This window comes from Homo sapiens, chromosome 7, assembly GCF_000001405.40.
Source record: "Homo sapiens chromosome 7, GRCh38.p14 Primary Assembly".
NCBI lineage: Eukaryota > Metazoa > Chordata > Mammalia > Primates > Hominidae > Homo > Homo sapiens.
In genome coordinates this window covers 153,373,598-153,397,327 of record NC_000007.14, presented here as the reverse complement: position 1 = coordinate 153,397,327, position 23,730 = coordinate 153,373,598, and the positions used below count along the sequence as shown (strand labels likewise).

General features: G+C 41.8%; 1 long non-coding RNA gene across 1 annotated transcript; it reads right to left on the bottom strand.

Annotated features, from left to right (window-relative positions):
* Positions 1-331: 331 nt before the first annotated feature.
* On the bottom strand, positions 332-8,168 carry LOC105375577 (uncharacterized). The gene is made up of 3 exons (XR_928187.3): positions 7,598-8,168; positions 1,710-1,886; positions 332-635 (listed from the first exon to the last, which is right to left on the bottom strand). It is a non-coding gene; the product is annotated as an uncharacterized LOC105375577 (long non-coding RNA).
* Positions 8,169-23,730: the final 15,562 nt, after the last annotated feature.

The window sequence follows — 23,730 nt, the reverse complement described above, 5'->3', positions numbered from 1 at the left end:
TGGATTTTGGCAGCAGAATGTGCCATGCACTCAGGCTCTGCTGTGCGTCCTCAATCCTGGCCTTTAATAGTGCCTCTGTTTCTCCTGGTCTCAACCCTTGCACTCTCTGAGAGGAGATTGGCCACTTCAGTTTTCTGTCTTGAAGATTATGATACTACACAGAGGCAGGCTAAGTACTAGGAGACCCAGGATCTGCTTTCAGTTTTTCTATATCTCATTCTAACTGTTACCAGTGGCAAATCTGTATGGGTCTGCAGCAACTCAGTTCTTGCCTCCTCAGAAGAAAGAATTCAACCAAGGGGCATAAGGCAGAGTGAGAGACCAAGGCAAGTTTTAGAGCAGGAAAGTTTATTAAAAAGTTTTAGAGCAGGAACAAAAGAAAGTAAGGTACACTTAGAAGAGAGCCAAGCAGGTGACTTGAGAGATTCAAGTGTGCTGTTTGATCTTTAACTTGAAGTTTTATGTATTGAGATGCTTCTGGGGTTGTGTTACTTCTCCCCGTTACTTCTTTTGGGGTAGGCTGTCTGCATGCTCAGTGGCCTGCCAGCACTTGGGAGGGGCTGCAAGCACAGTGTGTTTGCTGAAGTTGTACACAGGCTTAGTTGAGGCATTTTTCTCATACCAGTCAGGCGTTCCTAGAAGAAGGTCATTTACCTGTTAACACTGCCATTCAGCTCTTAGTGTGCATGCTTGAGCCCACTCACCCAACTCCTGAGATCTTATTGGGAAGCTGCTGGTCATCAACTTCAGTTGTTTTTCATCTATTGGGAGATACTGTTCCCTGGCACCAGCTGCAGCCAATTATTATTTTAGCAAGACAGATAACAACCACCTGACCATAACCTGATAGTCACCTGACATTCCTGGGTTGGGCAGGGACCTCTCCTGCCCTGCTCATGTCTGCCTAACTACCTACTCTAACATTTCCCCCCTCAAGAGTTCAAGACCCAATTTGTTGGGAAAGGTCAGTCTTTTGTAACTGCTTCCTGCTGACAGAGAGGTGGTGGTGGTTGTTCTGTGGGTCTTATTCTCTTGCTAGCTGTTAGGGCATGGTTGCTTCGTGGGTTAGTGAAAGCAGTATCCAGCCAGGTCCGAGAGAGACAGGGGCAGGATTTTGCCTCTGTCGTGTCCCACAGATGGGCAGTTGAGGGGTCCTCTGTAGAAGTGTGACTCAAATATTGAGAGGATATTATCCCTCACTGAGGATCATCTGGTGATTGATGGCCCATCCCTCTTGTTTCTTCTGAGCCTCAGCCATGGATCACTGGTTGGTTCACAGGAATAAGCAGAGTCAGTCTAACTTGCAGAGGAAAAAAACTCAAAAACAACTGATGAGACTAGAATCAAATTACAGGTGTACCACAATTCTCAAGACATAATTTTTCTCTTTGCAGTCCTCATTCTTATTAAAAACAAATTATCACAGGACTGATTTGTTTCCAAAATAAACTTCAGTCATGTTATACTTGGCCTGTTATTTGCATAAAGCACAGCAAGAATAATTATTTGTTACATAGGTTCCTTTTTAAATTGGCTTTGATGGAACTTTGTTCCATAAGGAATCTTGGATAAAACTTTTAAAAGTCTTGAGCCCAGGCATGGGATTGTGCCACCAAATAACTGTATGAGTTGGATGAATTCCTCCCTCTTGAGGTCCCAAGACAACTTGGGGCCCCTGGGCCTGTCAGAACGTGACATTCTTTACTTACCACAGGTGAGAAAGCCTGCACAGGGATTGTGTAGACAAGATGTGGGTCCACTTTTCCCAAGGGGATTTTATTGGCTCTCTAAGTTAACATTGATTTCTTAAAGGAGTCTGTTTGTATCCGAAAGCATGTCATTCATTCAAAGCCTTGGGGAAAATAACCAGTGTCTCCAATTTTGTCCTGTTACAAAAGAAAACAGCATGTTAAAGCTATGTGTATCAGTTTATATGTTTAGTTGTGAGAAGGCCAATATTCATATCACCTAGCTTTACAAGAAATGCAGGCCTGAAGATGAAAAGCAACACAATTGCTTACAGTTTCTCAGATCACAAAGCCTTTTAATCTTACAAAATATAAATCAATAGATGAGAAAGAAAAAAACAGATTATTGCACTTATTCAAATAACTATACTGATGTAAGTTATGAGCACTCACAAATAAGTTCCAAATATTGGAGAAATCCAGGAGAGATAAATGTGCTCCTAATTTTGTTTATAGTACACTTTATTCAATTGTTAAAAGCTGAAAAGTTTTCTTGGCTTGGAAAAACAAACAAAGGATTAGCAACATTTTAAGCAAAAAGTCATAAAAGTATTATTTTAGTCTTAGTTCAGTCCATGCAATTAATTCCTCTTCTCCTTGATATTCATCAATATTTTAGCTCTCTGTGAGAGTCCTGAAAAGTTTTCCTCTATTATAATGTCACAATCTCCAAAGTTATCAGAAACCTGCATTTAAGAGCACCTATTAGAGTCCTATAGCTGATTATAAAACTACATTTTAAAGGGCATTGAAACAAAATAACAATTGTGGATGACTAAATGTCTTTGGACAGCCACAGTTGAAGACACAATTGACAAGGAAATTTGTTACCTCTGTGGCACACAATAATTTAACATGACAATTATAATTATTACTGTATAGTAAGTCAAACTAGAATTATAGGAGTTTTGCATAATTTTGAAACACACTGCAATAACACATTTATGCAAATACAGTCCAAGTAAAGCCAAATTTTACCTTTGCCTTAGTGTACTATTGATGTCAAATGCAATTCTTAATAAAACCTTATAGAAAAATTTATCTAATGTTAATCAGTTTGACCATAAGGTAAGATTTTCATTAACCTTTTATAACCCTTTACAATTTTCTGTTAAAAAACAGTGCTTTAAGTGCTTTAAGAAAACTGTGCTTTGCTTTTATTTTATTAAACTGAATAATACGCCTTTAATTGTAGCCAATATATGCCTATACAGAATTTCTTTTACAAGATTAATCTTTCACAAACCTTCCAGAACTTGCTTAAACCTTCAGTTTTATGCTTTCTAACTTCAAACAATCCTTTAACCCTCTACACTAGGCCAAAAATCCACATTCCCATGCCTTCATATAATATTTTACCAAAAGCACATTTTACTTTCCTTACACATCCTGCATGTAAAACTGTTTTTCCAGTAGTCTCAAGTACATGTTACACTGTTGTCTCTTAACTACTTTTACTTTTGGTGAAAAACCTCATAAGTAAGCCATTCTAATTATGTATTAGCTTTGGAGCCTAGAACACGAGATAGAAGTGAAGATCAGGTTTGACTCTTTCCAGCATAGCTAGGGTACACGGCTAACTCTGTATGTCCCCAGGCCTTACTCAGAATTTAACAGCTTTAAAGCAGGCAAGTTGTACAGTTAAGAGTTATGGTAGCAGTTTATGAAGCATTTAATAGGTTTAATAACCTTTAAAATTGTGTAACATTTCTTTTATTAATTCCCTTTCACGAACCTTTTCACAACTTACACAGAGCATCTATGACATGCTTCAACTTTCTGACTTGTCCTAAATATCCCTCTTTTAAACAATCAGTAATTTTACTTTAGCACAAGAATTTACCAAACAAGATCCTTTCTCATATAAAATATCTTTTCTTTATAACTTTTCTTACCAAAAACATCTATTTACCTTAAAAATGTTTGAATTAAACAAAAGTCATTTTCCTTCCATTAGGAAGTTAAGGTTTGTACTGCATGTTGCTGTGCAAGCCCTGTGAAGGGGGAGCAGATGAGGAGGTTATCTATATGCTGTAGAAGACAGCCCCCAACAAAAGATTGCTTGGCTAGACTTTTGCTAGGGCTTATCTGAATAAGTATGGGCTATTTCTAAACCCCTGAGGTAGGACTTCCTAGGTTAAAGTTATTGGTTAAAGATTTAGGTAACTTTCCCAGGAGAAATAGAGCTATTAGAGAGAAAATGATCAGAGGTTGGGTAAATGTTACACAGGCATCCATCTTGGAAAGTATATTTTTGCCCCAAAGAGATGTAGGGTATTTCAACATTACCAGAGACTGGTAGGAGAATGGAATTTGATCCCTTGAGTAATATAAAGGAGTGTTAATCTTTTCTTTTGGAGGGAGGGGGTGCCATTTGCCCCAATTACCCAACAGTATTTGAAGGAGAGTTGCTAAGAGAAGGAGATTAGCACAGAGTAGGGAGATTTTGAACCCCAAAGGGAAATTTATAATTTTATTTGCTGCCTCCAAAGTTGCCCTTGGCCTTGTCTTGTAGATTACAATGTCTGATTTGGAAGCCAGCTGGAGCACAAAGCCCTTTCAGCTCAGAGCCATCAGGGTTTGGGATTCTGTCCTGGGGGCCCTTTGAATCTCAGGGCAGTCCCATTTCCAGTGGCCAACCTTGTGGCAGAGGGGGAAAGCTGTGTGGGGCTTTTTCCCATTTATCCCATTAGTGCAATTTGCAATTCAGTGGCCTGGATTCCTGCACTGATGGTAGTTACTTGGAGGAGAGTCCTTAGAGCAACCTGGAAGGGACTGAAGAGCTTATAAAGCAGCCAATAGTTGAGACTGCCTCTGGTCCCCATGTTTCTCTTTTCTCCCTAGCCCTGTTCTTCTTGTCCCCATATGGTTTATAAATGACTAAGGAGGCTAATTTGAGGATTTCCTGCACAGGGACACTGGCTTCTGAAGCTGACTCTTATAGTTTTCTCCCAGTTCATTTTTAGGCCAAACAGTATTACAAGGGAAAAATAGTTTTTTGTTTGTTTTAAGGTTTGGGGGATCAAACTTTTCCCCAGATTTCTTGGGGATGCATCCAAAGGGCATATCCTGTGGTTTATGGACACAATTACCCATCTGCAAAGAGAGGACAGAGGAGAAAAAAATAAGAAAAAAGAAGGCATCCCTTCTTATTGCTCTATTATCCTTTCCTGGACAGGGCATCCACCATTCATCCTTAGGGTTCCAGAATGAACCAGTCTTACTATGTAACCTTAACCTTGGCCTCATCTCATCAAAATTACCCACTTGAGAACAGAGGAGATACCAGAGTCAACAGGGGCACCCCATTCATCCTTGAGGTACTGGAATGAACTGGTCTAACCATGTACCCCAACCTTCCTCTCTGTTCTAATGGTAATCTGTTAGCCTAGGACCAGCCTTCATCTTTGTCCTATGGTTCTCTTGTGCCTGTGGCCATGGGCTGGCCTATATCTTTGTCTCCATGACCTTATAGTGACTCTCACTCAGAGCAGTCTAGCAACAAAATGATGATTCTCATTTCCCATGTTCCTTAAGTACACAAGAACCCTGTTTTTTGGCCAGCTACTGCTGGACTTCCCTCCCTTCTAATATTGCCTTGAAGGCCTTGATGTGTATTGAGGGCATGGAAGTGATTAGAGGAATAGAGGAAAATTTGTATTTAGGCTTCCTCATCCTCCAGGGGTAACATACAGAACACATGCTTAAGCAGACAGGACAATCCCTCTGCTACAGGAGGAAGTGGGAAGAAGTGTGAGGAATACTCATGGAAAGCCTTCATGTGCTCGCAAAAGCAGCAGCCCTTGGATTTGAGAGGGCAATGTTTATTTGCCCTCTTGACATAAAGGAAGAACATCTGGAGGAGATGGGGCCTGCGATAAGGGATCACAAATGGCAAAGGAAGAATTTTCCCTCTTCCCAAAGGGATGCTAACTCAAAAAAATCAAGTAGGGATCCTTAAAGGGCCACAGAATGAGGACAAATGCAGGTGGACAAACTGTTTCAAAAGCTAGGCCCAGCAGTGTAACACAGATGACAAGCAAAGTGTATGATAAGTCATAAGGAGTTGGCAGAGCTGGGGTTCCAATTAGAGTCTGTCCCAGCAGTGAGCCAACAGACATCCACTAGGGAGCCCATTTTTTTTGCTGCTATGCAAACATAGCAAGAGCCATGGATGCGTGAATAACAGGGAGTGTGTTTAGGGCAAAGAAGGAAGTCACACAGCATGTGAATTGAAAGCAGAGAAAAGGCAGACTTGCCTCCTGCAAGCAAATGGTCCCATGGATGCACAAGGCCATTTCAGAACACACACAGAGAAAACAGGAGAGTAGATGGTGCAGGGTCTTGGAAAAGAGCTGATTTTAGTTGAAAGGGCAGAGGAAACCCCAGACATTGCATGTCTTAAGCTTTAACCCTACCACTCTCGTGAGTCTCCTGTCCAGGAGGGCCATTAGTGTCTCAGGTCTACTCAGTGCAGACTCCAAGGTCCTTCCCCACCCAGTAGGCCACCCATCAGAGTGAGCTGAGAGATCAGTCAGGGGGAGCAGAACCACTGTGGCCAAGAGGAATCATTTTGGGGGTTGGTTAGTAAGCAGGAGAGTGAAAGGGGAGAGGGAACCCACGAAAGGGGGTTGAATGCATCCATCCAAAGCAGGTGAGGTATGGAGATGTCTTCCCAATAGGGAATGCATCTGAGTCATGGCATCAAAGTATGTTAGCAATGGTGAATCCATACAGGTCTGCAGCAACTCAGTTCTTACCTCCTCAGAAGAAAGAATTTGACCAGGGGACATAAGGCAGAGTGAGAGACCAAGGAAAGTTATAGAGCAGAAGTGCAAGTTTATTAAAAAGTTTTAGAGCAGGAAAGAAAGAAAGTAAAGTATACTTGGAAGAGGGCCAAGCGGGTGACTTGAGAGATTCAAGTGTGCTGTTTGACCTTTGACTTGGGGTTTTATACATTGACATGTGTATTAGTCCATTCTCACACTGCTATAAAGAACTGCCCAACATTGGGTAATTTATAAGGAAAAGAGGTTTAATTGACTCACCATTCCACATAGCTGAGGAGGCCTCAGGAAACTTACAATCAAGGTGGAAATTGAAGAGGCATGTCTTACATGGTGGCAGGCAAGAGAGAGTGAGTGTATGAAGGAGGAACTGTCAAACACTTATAAAACCATCAGCTCTCATGAGAACTACTCACAATCACCAGAACAGCATGGGGGACTCTACTCCCATGATCCAATCACCTCCTACCAGGTCTCTCCTTGAAATGTGGAGATTATGGGGATTACAATTCAAGATGAGATTTGGGTGGGGACACAAAGCCTAACCATATCAACATCTTTTCTCCCCTGATTCTTCCACTGGGGTGGGCTCTCCACATGCACAGTGGCCTGCCAGCACTTTGGAGGGGCTGCATGCACAGTGTGTTTACCGAAGTTGTGCACATGCTCACTAGAGGTGTTCTTCCCTTACCAGTCAAGTGTTCCTAGATAAAGGTAATACACCATCAAACTCCATCATTTTGCCTCTTAGTGCACATGCTTGAGCCCATCCACCCAACTCCTGAGATCTTATTGGGAAGCTGTTGATCATCAGCTTCAGGTGTTTTCTATCTATTGTGAGGCTGCCTTTCCCTGACACTGGCTGAGACCAATTATTATTTTAGAGAGACAATTTAACAACCACCTGACCCATCACCTGATGTTCGCCTGACATTCCTGGGTTGGAGGGGGGCCCTCTTCTGCCCTGCTTATGCCTGCCTACCTACCTACTCTAACATAACCATGTAACAATTCTGCCTCTGTTTCCACATTTGTAAAACAAAACAAAAAAATACCACCTACCTTGTGAGAGTAAGGGTCAAAAAACTCCTTAAAGGGTCAGAAAACTGGAAGCCCCTGATGTTTTACATGAAGATGCACAGAGAAGCAACCCCCACCAGGCATGCTGGTGCCTTTCCTTCTCCAGGCACTTCTCATTCAAGCCACAGAGGGCATCTCTATTTTTAGTCCTGTCTCCTAAGGGATCACGATGAAGTTATTTTTTATCTCAGCAAGTTGGCTCAATCTTACAGTCCCATGCATGGTGCCATTGATGGAAGCCTTGTGGGAAGTGGATGTACGCTCCCTGACTCATTCCCTCCCTGTCTTTGGCTCATCTTTCACTAACAAGTTCAGGCAGAGTCCTTGGACATCATTCAGAGAGAACCAGAGCTAGCATATAACACTGATCCTAGTCGTGTGTGATTTCATTAAAGAAATGTACCACTTGGTCTCTTCATGGCTAACTCCCCAGCTTGTATAAATTGCATAGTCACATGCCATTCAGAGAGCCATTCTGAATGCATATTTGTTACAGGAAGAACTTGGGATGGTAACATCCCCTGCAAACTGGGAAGGAGCCAAGAGACCAAAGAATGACTCCATCAAGTCCAGCTTGATAAGTAAATGAGTTTATTGGGACCTACATCCAGGGCTCTCCTGGGTGGCAGCAAGACAGCTCTAGAGATCCCCACTGCCTGCTGTCTTTAAGTTGCTTTTAAGCTAATTTTCTGGCTCTTTGCCGTGTGTGTGTGTGTGTGTGATAGGACTATTTTTCTTGGTATATTACCAGGTACACTTCAGTATGTTTGAGTTCTCAGGAATGAACACCTGCTCCTTGTCTGGGTACCATGGCCTTGGCTCACCACCTGGCCTTCAGGGTCCAAGCCATGGACATATGGACAAATGCCCTTAAGCAGCCTGGTGGGGACCTGTCACACTACAACATTGGTGCTGCTGCTGCTCCTGGTGGAGGGTGGGTTGGTGTGGGGACAGGAGGTGCAAAGTGACAAAGCCTCATGCCTACCCATGCCAAGAGGCCCTATCTGTCTCCAACCAAGTGCCCAGGACCTCCCAGATAAGGAACATAGCTTCTTTAAAAGGGCAGAAACTTGTCAGTTAGTCATATTTATTTTCAAATTCTAGTTCTAACACTTGATAGCCATGTGATATTGGGCAAGTTACTTATGAGCATCAGTTTTCTCCTTTGTAAAATAGAACTCTCATAGTTCACATGGTACCTGATATGGTCTGGCTGTGTCGCCACCCAAATCTCACCTTGAATTGTAGTTCCCATAATCCCCACGTGTTGTGGGAGGGACCCAGTGGGAGGTAATTGAATCCTGAGGGTGGTTACCCCCATGCTGCTGATCTCCTGACAGTGAGTGAGCTCTCATGAGGAACTTTTCCCACTTTTGCTCACCACTTCTCCTTGCTGCCTCTATGTGAAGAAGGACGTGTTTGCTTCCCCTTCTGCCATGACTGTTAGTTTCCTGAAGCCTCCTCAGCCATGCTGAACTGTGAAAATAAGAAAACCTCTTTCCTTTATAAATTACCTAGGCTTGGGTATGTCTTTAATAGCAGCGTGAGAACAAACTAATACAGTACCATTATCAAAGTTTGCATTTACATCAACTTTTCTAGAATAATTTCTGGAACAAAGCCTATGTTCACCAATTTCCTACCATCCTCTGTTGTCTAGGGACTAAAACTTTAATGTCATCAGCACCCCCACTGGGCTTCCCCACAGGTCCCAGGAATCAAGCCTGGATGGCTCCCTTTTTCTGCTGCCCCCTTCATTCCCACAAGACATGCAGGTGACTCAAGCTAATAGGACAACCGTCATGCCATTCTCCATGAGCATATGCATTTTATCACAATGTTTTTCCAAACATCCTCCCATCCTCTTGCATTCTCTCCTCATCCTTCTCATCTCTCCTTCTCTCAAATGATCCTCCATGCTCCCATTTCTCAGGCTTACAAACTCAGAGTCAACTGTAAATCTCTCCCATCTCTTCACTCAGTGCTCAGGCCCTGTCACCAATAGCATCTTCCCTTATGTCACCCATTTTTCTATTTCCAGTGCCACCATAATCCCAGGAAAATCCCTGGCCAAGGGCCCACTTAGGGAAGGCTGGTGAAGCCAAGTGGGGGCACTGGGCTCAAGTCTTTCCATTCCTGGGGGCCCCATAGGACAGGTGCCCCACTTGGGGGTGAAAGTGTGTGGAAGGGTGAGGATTTGTAGAAGAGAAGCAATAAAGGAACCTGAAAACAAGCAAGGAAGGGAAGGGAGAAATGAGATAAACAGAGGAGGCCAGAAGACAAAGAGATTGCAATGAAATCATTTTTGAGCCTTCAAATGTTCTTCCTAAAATCTATTCCAACCCTCAAGCAAATAGATGCATGAGAATTTAATGTTGAAACTCAAGCAGGAGCATGTGCTGAAAGGCAGAATGGGTCTAACTTAGTGGAATCATCATTTACATTTTTAGGAGTAATCCAAACTCTACAATTTAAAAGACAAAGAATTAAAATAAGGTCAAAATTTATCTTTTCTAAATTGTAGATTTTGTATGGTAAATACCTAAATTGTACCTTGATGCTTTTGCTTCCACATAAAAGGTGAAAATCGTTTCCTTCAGATCATTTTTTTCTTAATAGCAGCTTTCACACTGACAGAAAGAGGACATTTCTTACCCCATTCAGTAAGAAAGGAAGAGTAAATGGCATTCTCAAAGAAGGCGGAAATAGAACCTTTGGAAAATTGCCTTAATAGCAGGCTATGAGTTTGGGCGATGAAGAGGGGTGACCTCAGCCTCCCCGACCTGCCGGTCTGCTGCCCCCACCCTCCCACCCAGCTCCAATTTCACAAAACGACTCATGTTCCCCAAATACCCTGCACTCTACCTGCCTTTTCTCCAGTTGCACGAGGGCTGAGATCGTCACAAGTAAAAGACACCTGCTGCTTGTCACCCTCGTCCTAGGCATCCTGCAAGGACGTTCACAATGCCAGCTGCTCAGTGACGTCTTCCCCGAGGTGGAATTTTGTTGCTCCCCACCCCCGACTCCTTCCCCAATTGCCCTTTCTACTGTTACAGGTGTGTGTCTTTCTCCTTGGCTGACTCTGAAGCTGAGATGCCTGTGGGTCAAAGAGATCCTTTGAGAAGGATTTCTAACCTGAAATCAAAAAACTAAGAGTGATTTTATAGAAGTGACACCTGTGAAGCTGGAAGAACAATAGGGTTCATGGAGGTGATAATTTAAGATGATTAAGGAAAACATGGTATCTGAATTGTATCTTCATGTTTTTTCCTTTAAACTGTGGGTTTTTCTCAAAATAGTAATGTTTTATATCAACATTTTATTTAAATAGATTATAATAGCTGTAAATCTATTTAGATTTACAATAGATTTACAATATCAGTCAGGACCCAGCTGGAAAAAGAGGTCTGTTCAAGTGGAATTCTGGAGAGAATTTCCAATAGGGGATAGGCACAAGGATGTTGAAGCACCCAGCAACTATTAGCAATGAGAAGCGGGGGGCCCTTCCTAGGCTCAATGGGACATGAAGAGGAACCAGGGCATCCTGGAAGAGCTGGGGCCGTAAAGGGGACACTTACCAAGCCTGAAGCTATGGAGACAGGGGATGCCCCTAGAACCAGGAATCGAGGCTTGGGGGCAGGAAAGTAAACCCCCTCTTCTCTCTCCCACAGCCCTGCCTGTGTCTGAACCAAATGGTCCAGCCATAGAGCAAGAAAGCACACTGATCCATCTCTATAATCCAGTCCCCTCTACCCACCCCCACACACATGCAGAGAGGACTTAGAAGGCAAAAACAGGAAGGAGGGTAGAGGAATAAAGAAATATCAGCATTTATTTTAGAAAATAGGATTGACAGAAAAACCTGCCCCCTATTCTGTCTCCCAATCTGCCATGCTTCTAAAAAAATCTGACCATTTTTGAATAAAGGGCAAAGGCAAATGCACCAATATTTACTTAACTGGAAGTAACACGTGCACCAAGAGTCAAGCATTGACTTTTTTGATGGAAACCTGTGAGGCAGCAACAGCATGCAAGACATAGATAATGGTGGTGGGGGCGGAGCAGGGAGAAAGATGGGGAGAGAGATGATAAATACAAAGATACAAAATGAGAGGGAAGTAAGTATTGGCAAGGGTGAGCACAGCCAAGCATTTTCTTACATCCAAACTTTGTTGTTTAAATTTCCTTGGCAAAGCCCTGAGTTGGTGTTAACTCTCTGTTTTAAAACAGATCTCTGTTTTAATGCCCTCCTGTGAGAAACAAATAACTTCCATTGGGTTAAAGCTATTTACATGCAGCAGGTTTATTTTGATAATGAATGTTTAAATATATGCAGCAAGTCTGATTGCTTCTCCCTGTGAGGGATACAGTCCTGGAAGGCTTAGTTATGTCAAATTCCCAGCTGGAAAGGTAACTGCAGGGTCCTGCCCCTGTTTCACCAATGTCTCCAGTCCATGAGAAATGAGCTGCATCTTACAGTCTTTTTTTTTTTTTTTTTTGAGACGGAGTCTTGCTGTGTTGCCCAGGCTGGAGTGCAGTTGTGCAATCTTGGCTCATTGCAAGCTCTGCCTCCCGGGTTCAAGCCATTCTCCTGCCTCAGCCTCCCAAGTAGCTGGGATTACAGCTACCCACCACCACGCCCAGCTAATTTTTTGTATTTTTAGTGGAGACAGGGTTTCGCCACGTTGACCAGACTGGTCTCGAACTCCTGACCTCAGGTGATCGGCCCGCCTCAGCCTCCCAAAGTGAATCTTTATACAGTCCATACAGTCTCCACTCTTATGATGTCACACGCTCCTGGTATTGTTTATTTTCCATTTTCTCCAGTAGAATGTAAGCCCCACAGGGCACAGATTTTTGTTTCTTTTGTTCCCAGCTGTATTTCTACACCTAGAACAGTGCCGGGCACATAAAAGGAGTTTAAAAACTATTCATTCAGTGAAGGAAAAAATGAACACACAATCAGGGACACTCCCAGGTCTAAATAAGACACATTGTTTATCAGACATTCTGAGTTCATTTCCCAGACTGCCAGTGTTGACTTCCCCAGAATTCTGTCTTTTGATTAATATGACCAAAACCACTCTCCTCCTCACGCAAGTTCGACCTTAGCTCATCATTAGACCCAAGAACTAACAGAATCAGGCAGTACTAGCTTTCTATGAATGGGACTCCCCAGTGCCTCTCCCATCACCCACCAGCAGACTGTGGACAGATGCAACATTATCTGCTTCTTTACATGCACAGAAGTTAAATTTAATAAAGATGATGTTGCAAGCATTTTAATAAGAAAAATTCATGCAACAGTTACTGAGCATCTACTCTGTGCAAAGCTCTGTGTTCCCTGCTGGCCTAGCTGCCAGCCTCGCTGGAGAGAAGAAACAGGAAAAAAAAAATCATTCTACCACAATAGAAGAATGAAGAGTGCAATCATGATCATAATGGATGGGCAAACACATTCTGCAAGTTGTATTCTAATCTTCTGCAGCCCACACATGTACACAACGAGGCAGATTTTTACCCTTCTCCTTTCTAATTTGTCTAATATACTTTACATCAATATATCAACAAGAAAATAGTAAGACATACCAATATGTTCCTTTGCAAATATAATTATGTAATCATCTGGCAAACAAATAAACTCCTAGCTAATGCAAAGCTTGCTTTCAAACTATTTTTTTCTTTTTCTGCCCAGAGCAGGCTTACAAATAAATATTGAGTGTGCCAGGACATTGCTCAATTTTTCCTGTGCTAAACTTTTTAAGTGTAGCTGGGAAAGACAGTCTCCTTGCATTTACCTACTTGCCCAAAAGCAAAATGTTATTCATTGGCAGAGAAGAGGTTTCTCCATATTCATTGTATTCACCTGTCAGTAATTCACGTCTGGGTGAAATATCTCAAAATGCATTTTAAACCACTTAACTTTACCAGTTAGCACTTGTCTTCCTTAAGCTCACATTCAAAGCATTCTGCCCAATTATTGGGGCAGATATCAGAGACACACATTATAAACCTCTATGAGCCTGTATCCACCAGTCTCTCACTCCACAAGCCATGAGACATGAGGCACGATGGACAAAGGGCAACGTCGTCAAAGCTGAGAGATGCAATTTCTGCACAACACAATCATGTATTAGCCACGTGACCCTAGCCATCACTTAACCCCTCTACGGCTCAATTTTCTCATCTTGCAACTAAACCCTTAGAAAAGTACTATTTGCTCTGCCTACCTACAGGGCTGAGATTAACGTTCATTAAAATTTTACATGTATTAATAGGTGATTTCATGGAAGCATGTGCTCATAAAAATATCTATGTTCCTTAAAGTAGGCATTTGCATGAGTCTCTCAGAAAACAAAACTGCAAGCATCCCTGACTGAGCTGGTTTTCATGGGTGGTGATCCTATCCTTGGCTGCAGAGCTTATAGGCCATTCCTATATCAAATTATTTCAAAAATGTTTATTTGAGTGCTCTAGGTATCACATGATGAAAGGCATTGGGCATACCAAGATATTTCAGTGAGCTCACAGGACTTTGGAGGAGTTCGGAAAGTCATAATAGAGGGTAATAAAATGGCTTATAAGCAATTCCAACATTCCAGACACCTCCCCCCCACCATAAAATGAAGATATGAAGTTATTGAAATAGTCACAGTAGAGTAGAAAATGAAGCGGAGTCCAAAAGTTCGAGGTGCGTTTGGCGGTGCTTCTGACTTGGATGGAGTGACTCGATCAGTGGCCGCTAGAGAAAGAACAGATGAAGATTAAATAAAAATATAAGATTCATGTTTGGTGATGCAAACACATAAATTTTATTGTGTATGGAGAGGTTGCCAGGGTGTCTTCACCCAGAGGACACATCTCTGGAAAATCTTAGTCAAGTGTACGAGGAATTTGCAGAGTAGATTGAGCAAGAGCTGCTGGCTGGATGAAACATAAGATCTGCCTCCAAGATTCTTACAATCCAGCGTTGCAATGGTCTGAGGCCTGTCAGGGAGAATTTGGGAGGTTCAACAGCAAAGCAGCCACCCATATTACTGTCCTTCTGACAGGTCAGCAGGAGAGTCTCCTCTTGAACCATGAAGGCAGCTGTCCAGGGCATAAGTCTAGTTGACGGGCTCTCTAGCTGTTTTGTGTCCCTTGCTCAGACAACTGTTATTTTAACCCATTCCCCACCCGACCCCTTGGAGTTCCTTAGGCAAGTCTCTAAGAACCTCCACGTATGAAATTTACTTGACCCTAAGAAGTCTAAAACAGCAAAAGAATAAACCGTGTTTCTTATTTATAACCATTTTATCCCTTCAAAAACATATCCATAACTGCAGCCTAGCATTCAGGAGAATTAGATTTTATATCTGCGCATGATATTATGCACAGAGAGGTGAGGCTCAGACAGAAGAAATTATTTCTCAAGGACACCCAGCTAAGGTTGCAGGACTGATACGAAGACCTGGGCTCTGTGCCTTCAAATATACCATCTCCACAAGGGTCAGAAGCTTTATTAAATCATTCACTTGACAAACCTTCTTGGAAGCTGGACACACACCGGGTGCTGGAAGAAAGATGAAGAGGCAGTGGCCCTCATGAGTTCCTGATGGAACTCATTCGACAAAGCCATTGAACGTCAGATGTTTTCTGGTAAATCAGCCTGTTGAGGTAGATTTCCTCCTATGCCCGCCTGACAGGGGATCATGTGGTCTCTGCTAAAATTCTAGTGGACATGGGAATTCACTAGTGTTGGAGGTAACCTGTACATCAGAACTCTTCAAGAAACCCCTTATTTCATTTGTCTTTGTCTTGCTCTGTCTTCACACTTCCCACAGGGGCTTACCTCGGATCCTAGTTCCCTGGCCCTTTTCTTCCCCTTTTTTTGAAAATAATCTGGAATCCCAGGCTTCCCTTCCAGTTCCCACAGCGAGACCTTCTCACCTTGGGCAGCCAAGTTCGAGAGGCAGACAACACTGCCTCCTGGTGGCCAATGCGAGGCTCTACAGAAGGGCGAGCCTGTCCTTGCCAGTCTCTCTGTTATCAACCCAGAAAAAGGGAAAAAAGATATTACTCCCCGTTTTTTGGCAAGTAAAAGTGGAAGGAAGAAAAAACAAGAGCATAACAGAGACATCTGCAGCGTTTGGCCCTGGAATGCAGCATCCTTTTTCTGATCCTAACTTTCACTTGGTGACGCTGAGCTGCCCATCCCCCAGGAGGTGATTGCCTCCGACCCCTCCCCGCAGCACAGACCTTGTCTTCAGGAGAGTCTAGGGTCAGGAGCTTATGGATCCCTATTGAAGCCGTAATCCATTTGATTCACACCACAAGGGCTCCAGCACAGATAATTTTAAAAGTATTGTGGAAACAGGAGAAAAAATAATTAAAACGGAATTTCACTTTTTACTGGCAAGCCTCAAAGGTTATTAGAGACAGTCTAACATTTACTACCTAGCAACATGTCTCACGTCCACTTTTACCTGCTCCAAAATTAGCCCTTATCTTTTCCCCCGAGAAACTGTTCCCTTTCATTCCTCTCCTACCTTTTAAAACAAGCGAAATAACAACACCCGTTCTTCCTACTTCTTCCCTGCCTCCTCTAGGTCTCTACCTGCCCCATCCTTTCTTCTTCTCGCTTCTTTATTCTGAACATATCTCCTCTCCCTATGTTCTTTCCTTCTTCTTCTTGCTGTAGTCCTGTTCATCTCTCTCCTTGTCCACCTGTTCTCATAAATGTCCAAAGCACCTGCATGGGGCTGGCAGATTCTTTTTTCAGTGCAGGGAGGAGAAGGAGCCACCCCCACCCCGAAATGTCAGACCCCTTTTCTGGGCTAGTAAAGGCGCAGGGCTGAGAACGCTGATAGCTGAGATGTTGGGTTAAGCCACATGCACTCCGGTAGCTCTCGGTTGCCTCTCTTGGTCTCATATATGTTTGTGGTCAAAGGAATATACTGGGAATCCACCCCCGCCCCCCACCAGCCACCATCACCACCACAAGACTTACAAACGGAATTTGAAACCATTTTGTGGGAATGGCTGTTTAGAGACCAAAAGAAAAGACAGAGAGTCTTCTGAAGGTTTTCAGACTCTGGCTGTAAACTAATGCTAATTCTCAGATAAGCTAAAAATAATGTCCCCACAGGCGGGCTTCTGGAAGCCAGGCCACAGATCTTCTCAGCTTGACTCTATATTACAGTGAGCCCCGTGGAATAATAGGCACAATTTGTGTTTATTTCCCCAGCCCCAGAACATGTATTGAAAGTAGGTTATGTTTAATAACTGGTGGGATCCCTACATTGAACTGTGGAGTGAAGACTATCATGGTAGAAAAAGCCAAGCGACAGCCCCTAGAACCACATCGTCTCCGCCAAAATAATAAAGCAAAAGCAATACTGCATGTCTGGGGGCACTTTAGGGATCAATGCTAGCACAACCTGTAGGGTAAGAATAATTGCACATGCCCATCCGCCTTACCTGTTTATATGATGCAAAGACCAGCTGAACCTTGGGGAATGACTGTAGTTATTCCCCAAGATTACTTGGGGTTACTGCACACATAATTAGGTGGTGATATCTATGTAGCTGTGGCTCCATGTGTGGCATCTTTACTGAAACAAATCAGCATGGCCCTGCCACCCCGGATGCAGCTGTGGACTTGGTGTATAATGTTTCTGCACTTTTATCAGGAAAGATTCTCGGAAACCGTTCGCCCTCATGTGGCAGGAGCATCAGTACACCTTCACGATCTCATCTCATGGTTATACTAACTCTCTTGTTTTGATCATAAGACAAATAAGAGAGAACTGGAATATCTTAACATCCCACAGGCATCCCAGTATGTCAATAATATTTTGCTAAATGAATCTGATAAGAGGAAGGAGCAGGTGTCAAAGAAGGTGACAGATAAAGTTCACTAATATTTGGGAGTCTGCCACAGTGATAAAGTTTTCCAGAGAGCCAGTGGTCTCAGATATATTAGAATATCTCCTCTGAAGTGAGAGATATGTTGTAACACTTTGTAGCATTGATGTCAAAAAAGTACATAACCCTTGATAGACTATGCATTTTGAAGGACACATACAGGATATTTCAGCATGCTTCTATATTATAATTATTGGCTAACCTCCAAGATTGCCAGTGTGGAAAGTGGAGGGAATAAAGAGAAAGAAGGTTCAGGAAGTAGTTCAAGCTGTCTTGTTCCTTAGGGCTTGTGCTTCAACACATACAATAGCATTTCCTGTGTGTAAGACGGATAAGATATTCTATAGAGACGTTGACACATCACTGCATAGATCCCCTGGGTTCTGGAATGAAGCTGTGCCCTCTTCTGCCAGCAACTATCCTCCATTTGATAAGCAGGTCCTGGCCTCCCCTTGACCCTGGCAGAAACTTTGACCATAAGATACCAAGTGACTGTGCAATTTAAACTGCCCAACAGCGGTGTTTTTTCTGATCTACCCAGTCATACAATCAGATATAAATTGTAGTATTCACATACACATTGGTAACAGTCTGTATTAGAACAGGCACAAGTAAATTACACAAGTCGCTGGGTAGTTCACTCATCCGGTACCAATGCCTGTCGCTGTGTCTATACTTTGTCCTTAACATATGTCTGTGGCCTCATAGGGGTTTCTTATGAAAAGTTAACAAAAGTATAGTACTGATTACAGATGGCTTTGCATAATACACATATAACCAGCCAAAAGTGTATTGTAGCTCCACACAGGGATAACTCTAAAAGACAGTAGTAGAGAAAAATCCTTCCAGGGAGCAGAGTCCAGGAAATAAATCAGATTGTGGATTTCTGTGGAATGAGAGATGGCCTGAGTTACCCAGAATGATCTGATAGCACAGGCTATCATATTGGACCACTGCTCAAAAACTTAAAAATAACAAGTTTGGAAGATGGACGTCAAAGTAGTCTGAAAAAAAAAGTATATAGATAACTAGCTCTTGGAGTTGTCACAGTTACGAAGATACTTGTTTCCCCCACAACTGCCCCCCACATACCCAGAGACCATCCAATGAGATGTAGGCTTCCAATAATCAAGTGGAAAAGATAACCCATGTTACAAATATTAGTGTCTCCTCCAGCACCTGTGCATTGGTCTAAAGCAGGGGTCCCCAACCCCCAGGCCATGGACCAGTACTGGTTTGTGGCCTATTAGGAACCAGGTCACATAGCAGGAGGTGAACGGCGGGCAAGTGAGCAAAGCTTCATCTGTATTTATAGCTGCTCCCCATTGTTCACATTACTGCCTGAGCTCTACCTGCTGTCAGGTCAGAAGTGGCATTAGATTCTCATAGGAGTGCGAACCCTGTTGTGAACGGTGTATGCAAGGGTGTATGCAAGGTGTAGGTGGCATGCTCCTTATGAGAATCTAATGCCTGATGATCTGTCACTGTCTCCCATCGCTCCCAGATGGGACCATCTAGTTGCAGGAAAACAAGCTCAGGGCTCCCACTGATTCTGCATTATGTTGAGTAGTATAGTTACTTTATTACATAGTACAATGTGATAATAATAGAAATGAAGTGCACAATAAATGTAATGCACTTGAATCATCCCAAACCATCCCCCCATTCCCCTGGTCCATGGAAAAAGTGTCTTCCGTGAAATCGGTCCCTGGTTCCAAGAAGGTTGGAGACTGCTGGTCTAAAGGACACAAAGCAGTTGTGATGACAGCATTGAATAGCATGCATATACACAGAAATGGGGGGTTCTCTCCACCCTGCCTGCCCCATGAACTGCCCAATCTTCTAAGAGCAGAGGCCAGCACTGAGCCTAGGATTTGGCACCATTTTCCACAGAACAAGAAAGCGCCTGGGGGCAGGCTAATTACTCCAGCCTTTCTCCATCGTGGCAGGTGCTGCTGTGTGCCATCCCAGGGAGAGGCCCCAACTCCAGACATGGATTTGCCTTTGCTACCCATGACATACCTATACCATCATCATTGGTGAAATTAGCAAATGTCTTCTTCATGGCAATGTAATTCACAAAATTTCACCTCTAATAAGGCATCCTTATTACACCAAAGGAAGTGCAGCAAGAGGCTTCTGCCCATGGGACCCACTGATCTTATTCCGTGTATCTCAACACCGAGAAGCAGATGTTTGATAAAAATGGGATGGACTCTTTTATTATTACCATGAGTAAACTCCTCAAGATACTGTTGCTTGCCTTTGGGGGTGAGTTGGTCCTAGTGTCAAGGGAGAAATAATTATGAAGAAGTGGAATCTGAGCAATATAACCTTGATGATAAGAGAAACTCTAGATGTTGTGGACTAGAAGGATTACCAAGCCTAGATAAAAGGACTGCCAAGCCAAGCCATTACCACCCAACAGGGGCCAGGAGGACTAGGTCTGAACTCAGGAGAGTCACTGGGTGACTTGTAACTCCCTTACCCAATAGCTCAGGTCAATGGAAAACTGCAACAACGCAATACAAATGGGAACACCAAAAATGTGGATAATCCGTTAATGAAAGTTTGAAATAACCCCTAGGATAAGAACCCAATCCAGCTAAGCTGCTGTAAAAGCACAAAGGGAAAATGAAAAGAATCCTGGAAACTGGCCATTGTAATGATCAACTCGGGCATCATGACCAACTACGGAATCAGGGATGTATGTTGCTCTGCTGTATGCTAGTTCATCACTCATTTTCTCCCTAGCTACCCCCCACTATCCGGAGAAGACTGTTGTGGCTAATATTTGAAGTTTTGGGTACTGACAGCACTCCATACACAAGGCAGCTTATGAGGCTTTCTTGTCTCCTGTGTTGAGAACACTTTTTTTTAATTTGAACAAAAGATGGACAAGAGAGATTTTTAGGCGACAATAGGAATGAACTGTTCTGGACGCTTTCAAAATACCATCCAAATCCATCCTCTGGCTTTCTTTAATCTGCTTTGTACCCAAAGAGGCTGAAGTTGATGGACTTCCTCATGGCTCACTTGCCAGCCATCTTCTTGTTGATTTAGATTCATGGGAATTGTCGGCAGGAGATTGGCTTGGGGGAGAGGGTGAAATCAAGTAACTATTCTCTGGATTCTTCCATGATGGGTTGCCAAAGGTTAAATAAGTTTCCCTTCCAATGTCATACCTCTTTCCCACCACAACAGCTACTATCTCTGAGTTCTGGTCAACTTTCCTCCCCTTTAGCCCTTCAGTCCTAAAAGTGGTAATGACTCCCAACCATTGGTAGGTTAGGAGTGCTTCAACTATCCCTTCTTGGTTTCCTGTAACCCTGTTGACACATTTGTAAGTAGCCCCTTCATTAAACTTTCCTTAATTACCCCCATTGGAATGTGGCATCTGTTTCCTGTTAGGACTGTAACTAATACACATTCAGATCAGATTCTCAGGGCAAAACTTCCAGTAATTAGAAATCAGCAACAAACATAGACTTAAAAATGGACCATCCTAAATAACTCATGAATTAATAAGTTATTCACATAGAAAACTATGAGACATTTAGAACTGAATAACAAGAAGTGTACCACATCATAGCCATCTAAAGTAAGGCAAAAAAGTGAAATTTGTGTATTAACAAAAGAGAAATATTGAAAATAAGTTTCTCAAGAAGACAAAACCATGTCAGAATAAGCTTTAAAAATAGAGCAGACATATGGATAATGAACTAATAAAATTTAGAAAGAAAGAAACAAATGAGCTTTAACAAAACCAAAAAATATGCTTTTTTTGAAACATCTAGCAATAAAATCAAGAGAGAAGAAATTGAACAAAAAAAGTATGACCAGGTATAAAGATTTATTATAAAACTGTAGTAATTAAAACACAATGGTTTTAATGCCATCATAGATAGTAGAAAAGATCTATTAGCATACAGAACATTGATAAATGGCATTACAAATTGGAGAGGAAATGCTAAACTACTCAACAAATAGTGCTGAGGAAATTATGCATATGGAAAAAATTGATACCATGTCACACCATAAATAACAATCATTTATTGATGAACTAAGTATCAATATGTAAAAAGGAAACCCTAAAACCTTAGAAGAAAAATGTAGGACAATTAATTCTTTGAAATAAAGAGGGAATTATTAAATAAAACACAAAAATTACAATCAATAAAAAAGATGGATGTTTGAATATATGTGTGGGTATGCATGCTTTATGTTTGCAGAGCTGTACATGTATTGGATAATCAACAAAAAAAAAGCCTTATTCATTCAACAATCTTTACTGAGCAACTACAATGTGACAATAACTCTCCAAAGTGCTAGAGATTGTACAACAAGCAAAACAGATAAAATCTCTGCCCTATACAATATAGTGACAGATAAGCAAACAAGTTCTATTCAGTATGATAAGGTCAATGATAGATGAATGCAGGGTACCATTAGCACACAGAGGAGTACTATCTAAGTCTAACTGGGAGTGGTTGGGAAGGACAGCTCTCAGGAAAAGCTTTTCAGAAGATGTGACATCAAAGTTGAACAAGCTGCACTTGATAGCACAACAAAAATATTACAATGAAAATATTATCAAGTTCATCATAAGAGAGCACTATTTCCAGACAATTTATTAATCAATGATTCGCTGTGGTTTTGGTGAGATATGGCAGACCAGAAGATGACTGTCTCTCCTGAGGCATTTGCCCTATTTGTTCAGTCATTCAGTAAATATTTATTGACGGATTCTTGAATCCCAGACACTATAATAAGCACTGGCATACCAGATGAATAAGAAATCACTTCTTCTCTACCCACAAGCAGAAAAGCTCTGAGACTAATGATGGATAGAGGCAGACATATAAATAGGAAAGTACTGTTTGATGTGATGGGCATTATGATCCTGGGAAGCTTGTGGTGCCCTCGGTGCATATTGAAGCACCTGCTCCAGACCCTGGGATAGGGGAAGGGTGTGGGGTCTGATGGTGCCCCAAACGCCCATCGATGAAGGCAAAGAAAATATTTTAACTTGGATTATTGAGTGAATCTGATCTAGGTCAGAATTCCAATTGCATGAATTGAAATAAAAATATAATCATATGTTAAAATCTGTCATTTATAGGTAAATCAGAGATCTCAGCAGCAAGTTACCCACAGCAGCAGTTTTTGGAGATAAGAATTATGTAACAACAAAGCAACTGTTGTTTCTTGGGAAAGCATTAAACTAAGAGGTGATAGACTTGAGTTTCAGTCTTGATTTTGCCACACACTAGTTATCTAAAGCCTAGAGTAGGCCATTTATCCTCTCAGTTTGGGAATAACATCATAATGTGATACATTTATTGTGAAAATTAAGTTGGAACATTAACATGAAACTGCTTAGTAAAGCACTATTCATAGATCATTATTAAACGGCATGTGCTTATAAAGACTGTACTAACATTTCTTGTTGAAAATTCCATCATTTTCATAATTGCTTCATTCTGTTTTATTGAGGCATAATTTTCATATATTAAAATACACCCATCTTAAATATATTGTCCACTGAGTTTGGCAATTGTATAAATCTGTGTAACCACCAAGAAAATTAAAATGCAGAACTTTACCATAATCTCAAAAAGATTCTCTTCCCATAAATTCACCCACCAAAGAAAACAACTGTCCTGTTTATTTCATCATAGATTTTTATCCTTTTATAAACTTTATATAAATGAAATCTTAAAATAAATATTCCTATGTACCTGGCTTCCTTAACTCAATGTTCTCAAGACTGTTTCATGTTCTAGCATGTTTTAGCAATGTGTCCTTTTAAACTTTGTATATACTGCAGTGTGTTTCTTCACTTTCCTGTTCTTGCTACCAGGCTTTTTGTGGACATAAAAATTCATTTTCATTGGGTTAAAACCTAAGAGTAGAATTATTCAGTCATAGAATGGAGGTATGTTTATAAGAAACTATCAAATCCCTTTTCAAGGTGGTTGTACTATTTCATTCTAGATTTCCAATTTTTGTTTTTGTCAGACATTTTTATTTCAGCCATTCTTCTGGGTATAAATATCTGACTGGTTGTTTTAATTTGCACTTCTCTAAATGGCTAATGATATCCATATGGGACTTTCATATATCTTCTTTGGTAAACTGTTCAAATCTTTTGTGCCTTCTTTCTTTGGTTCATTGTTTTATAAATTATTGACTTGTCAAAGTTTTTA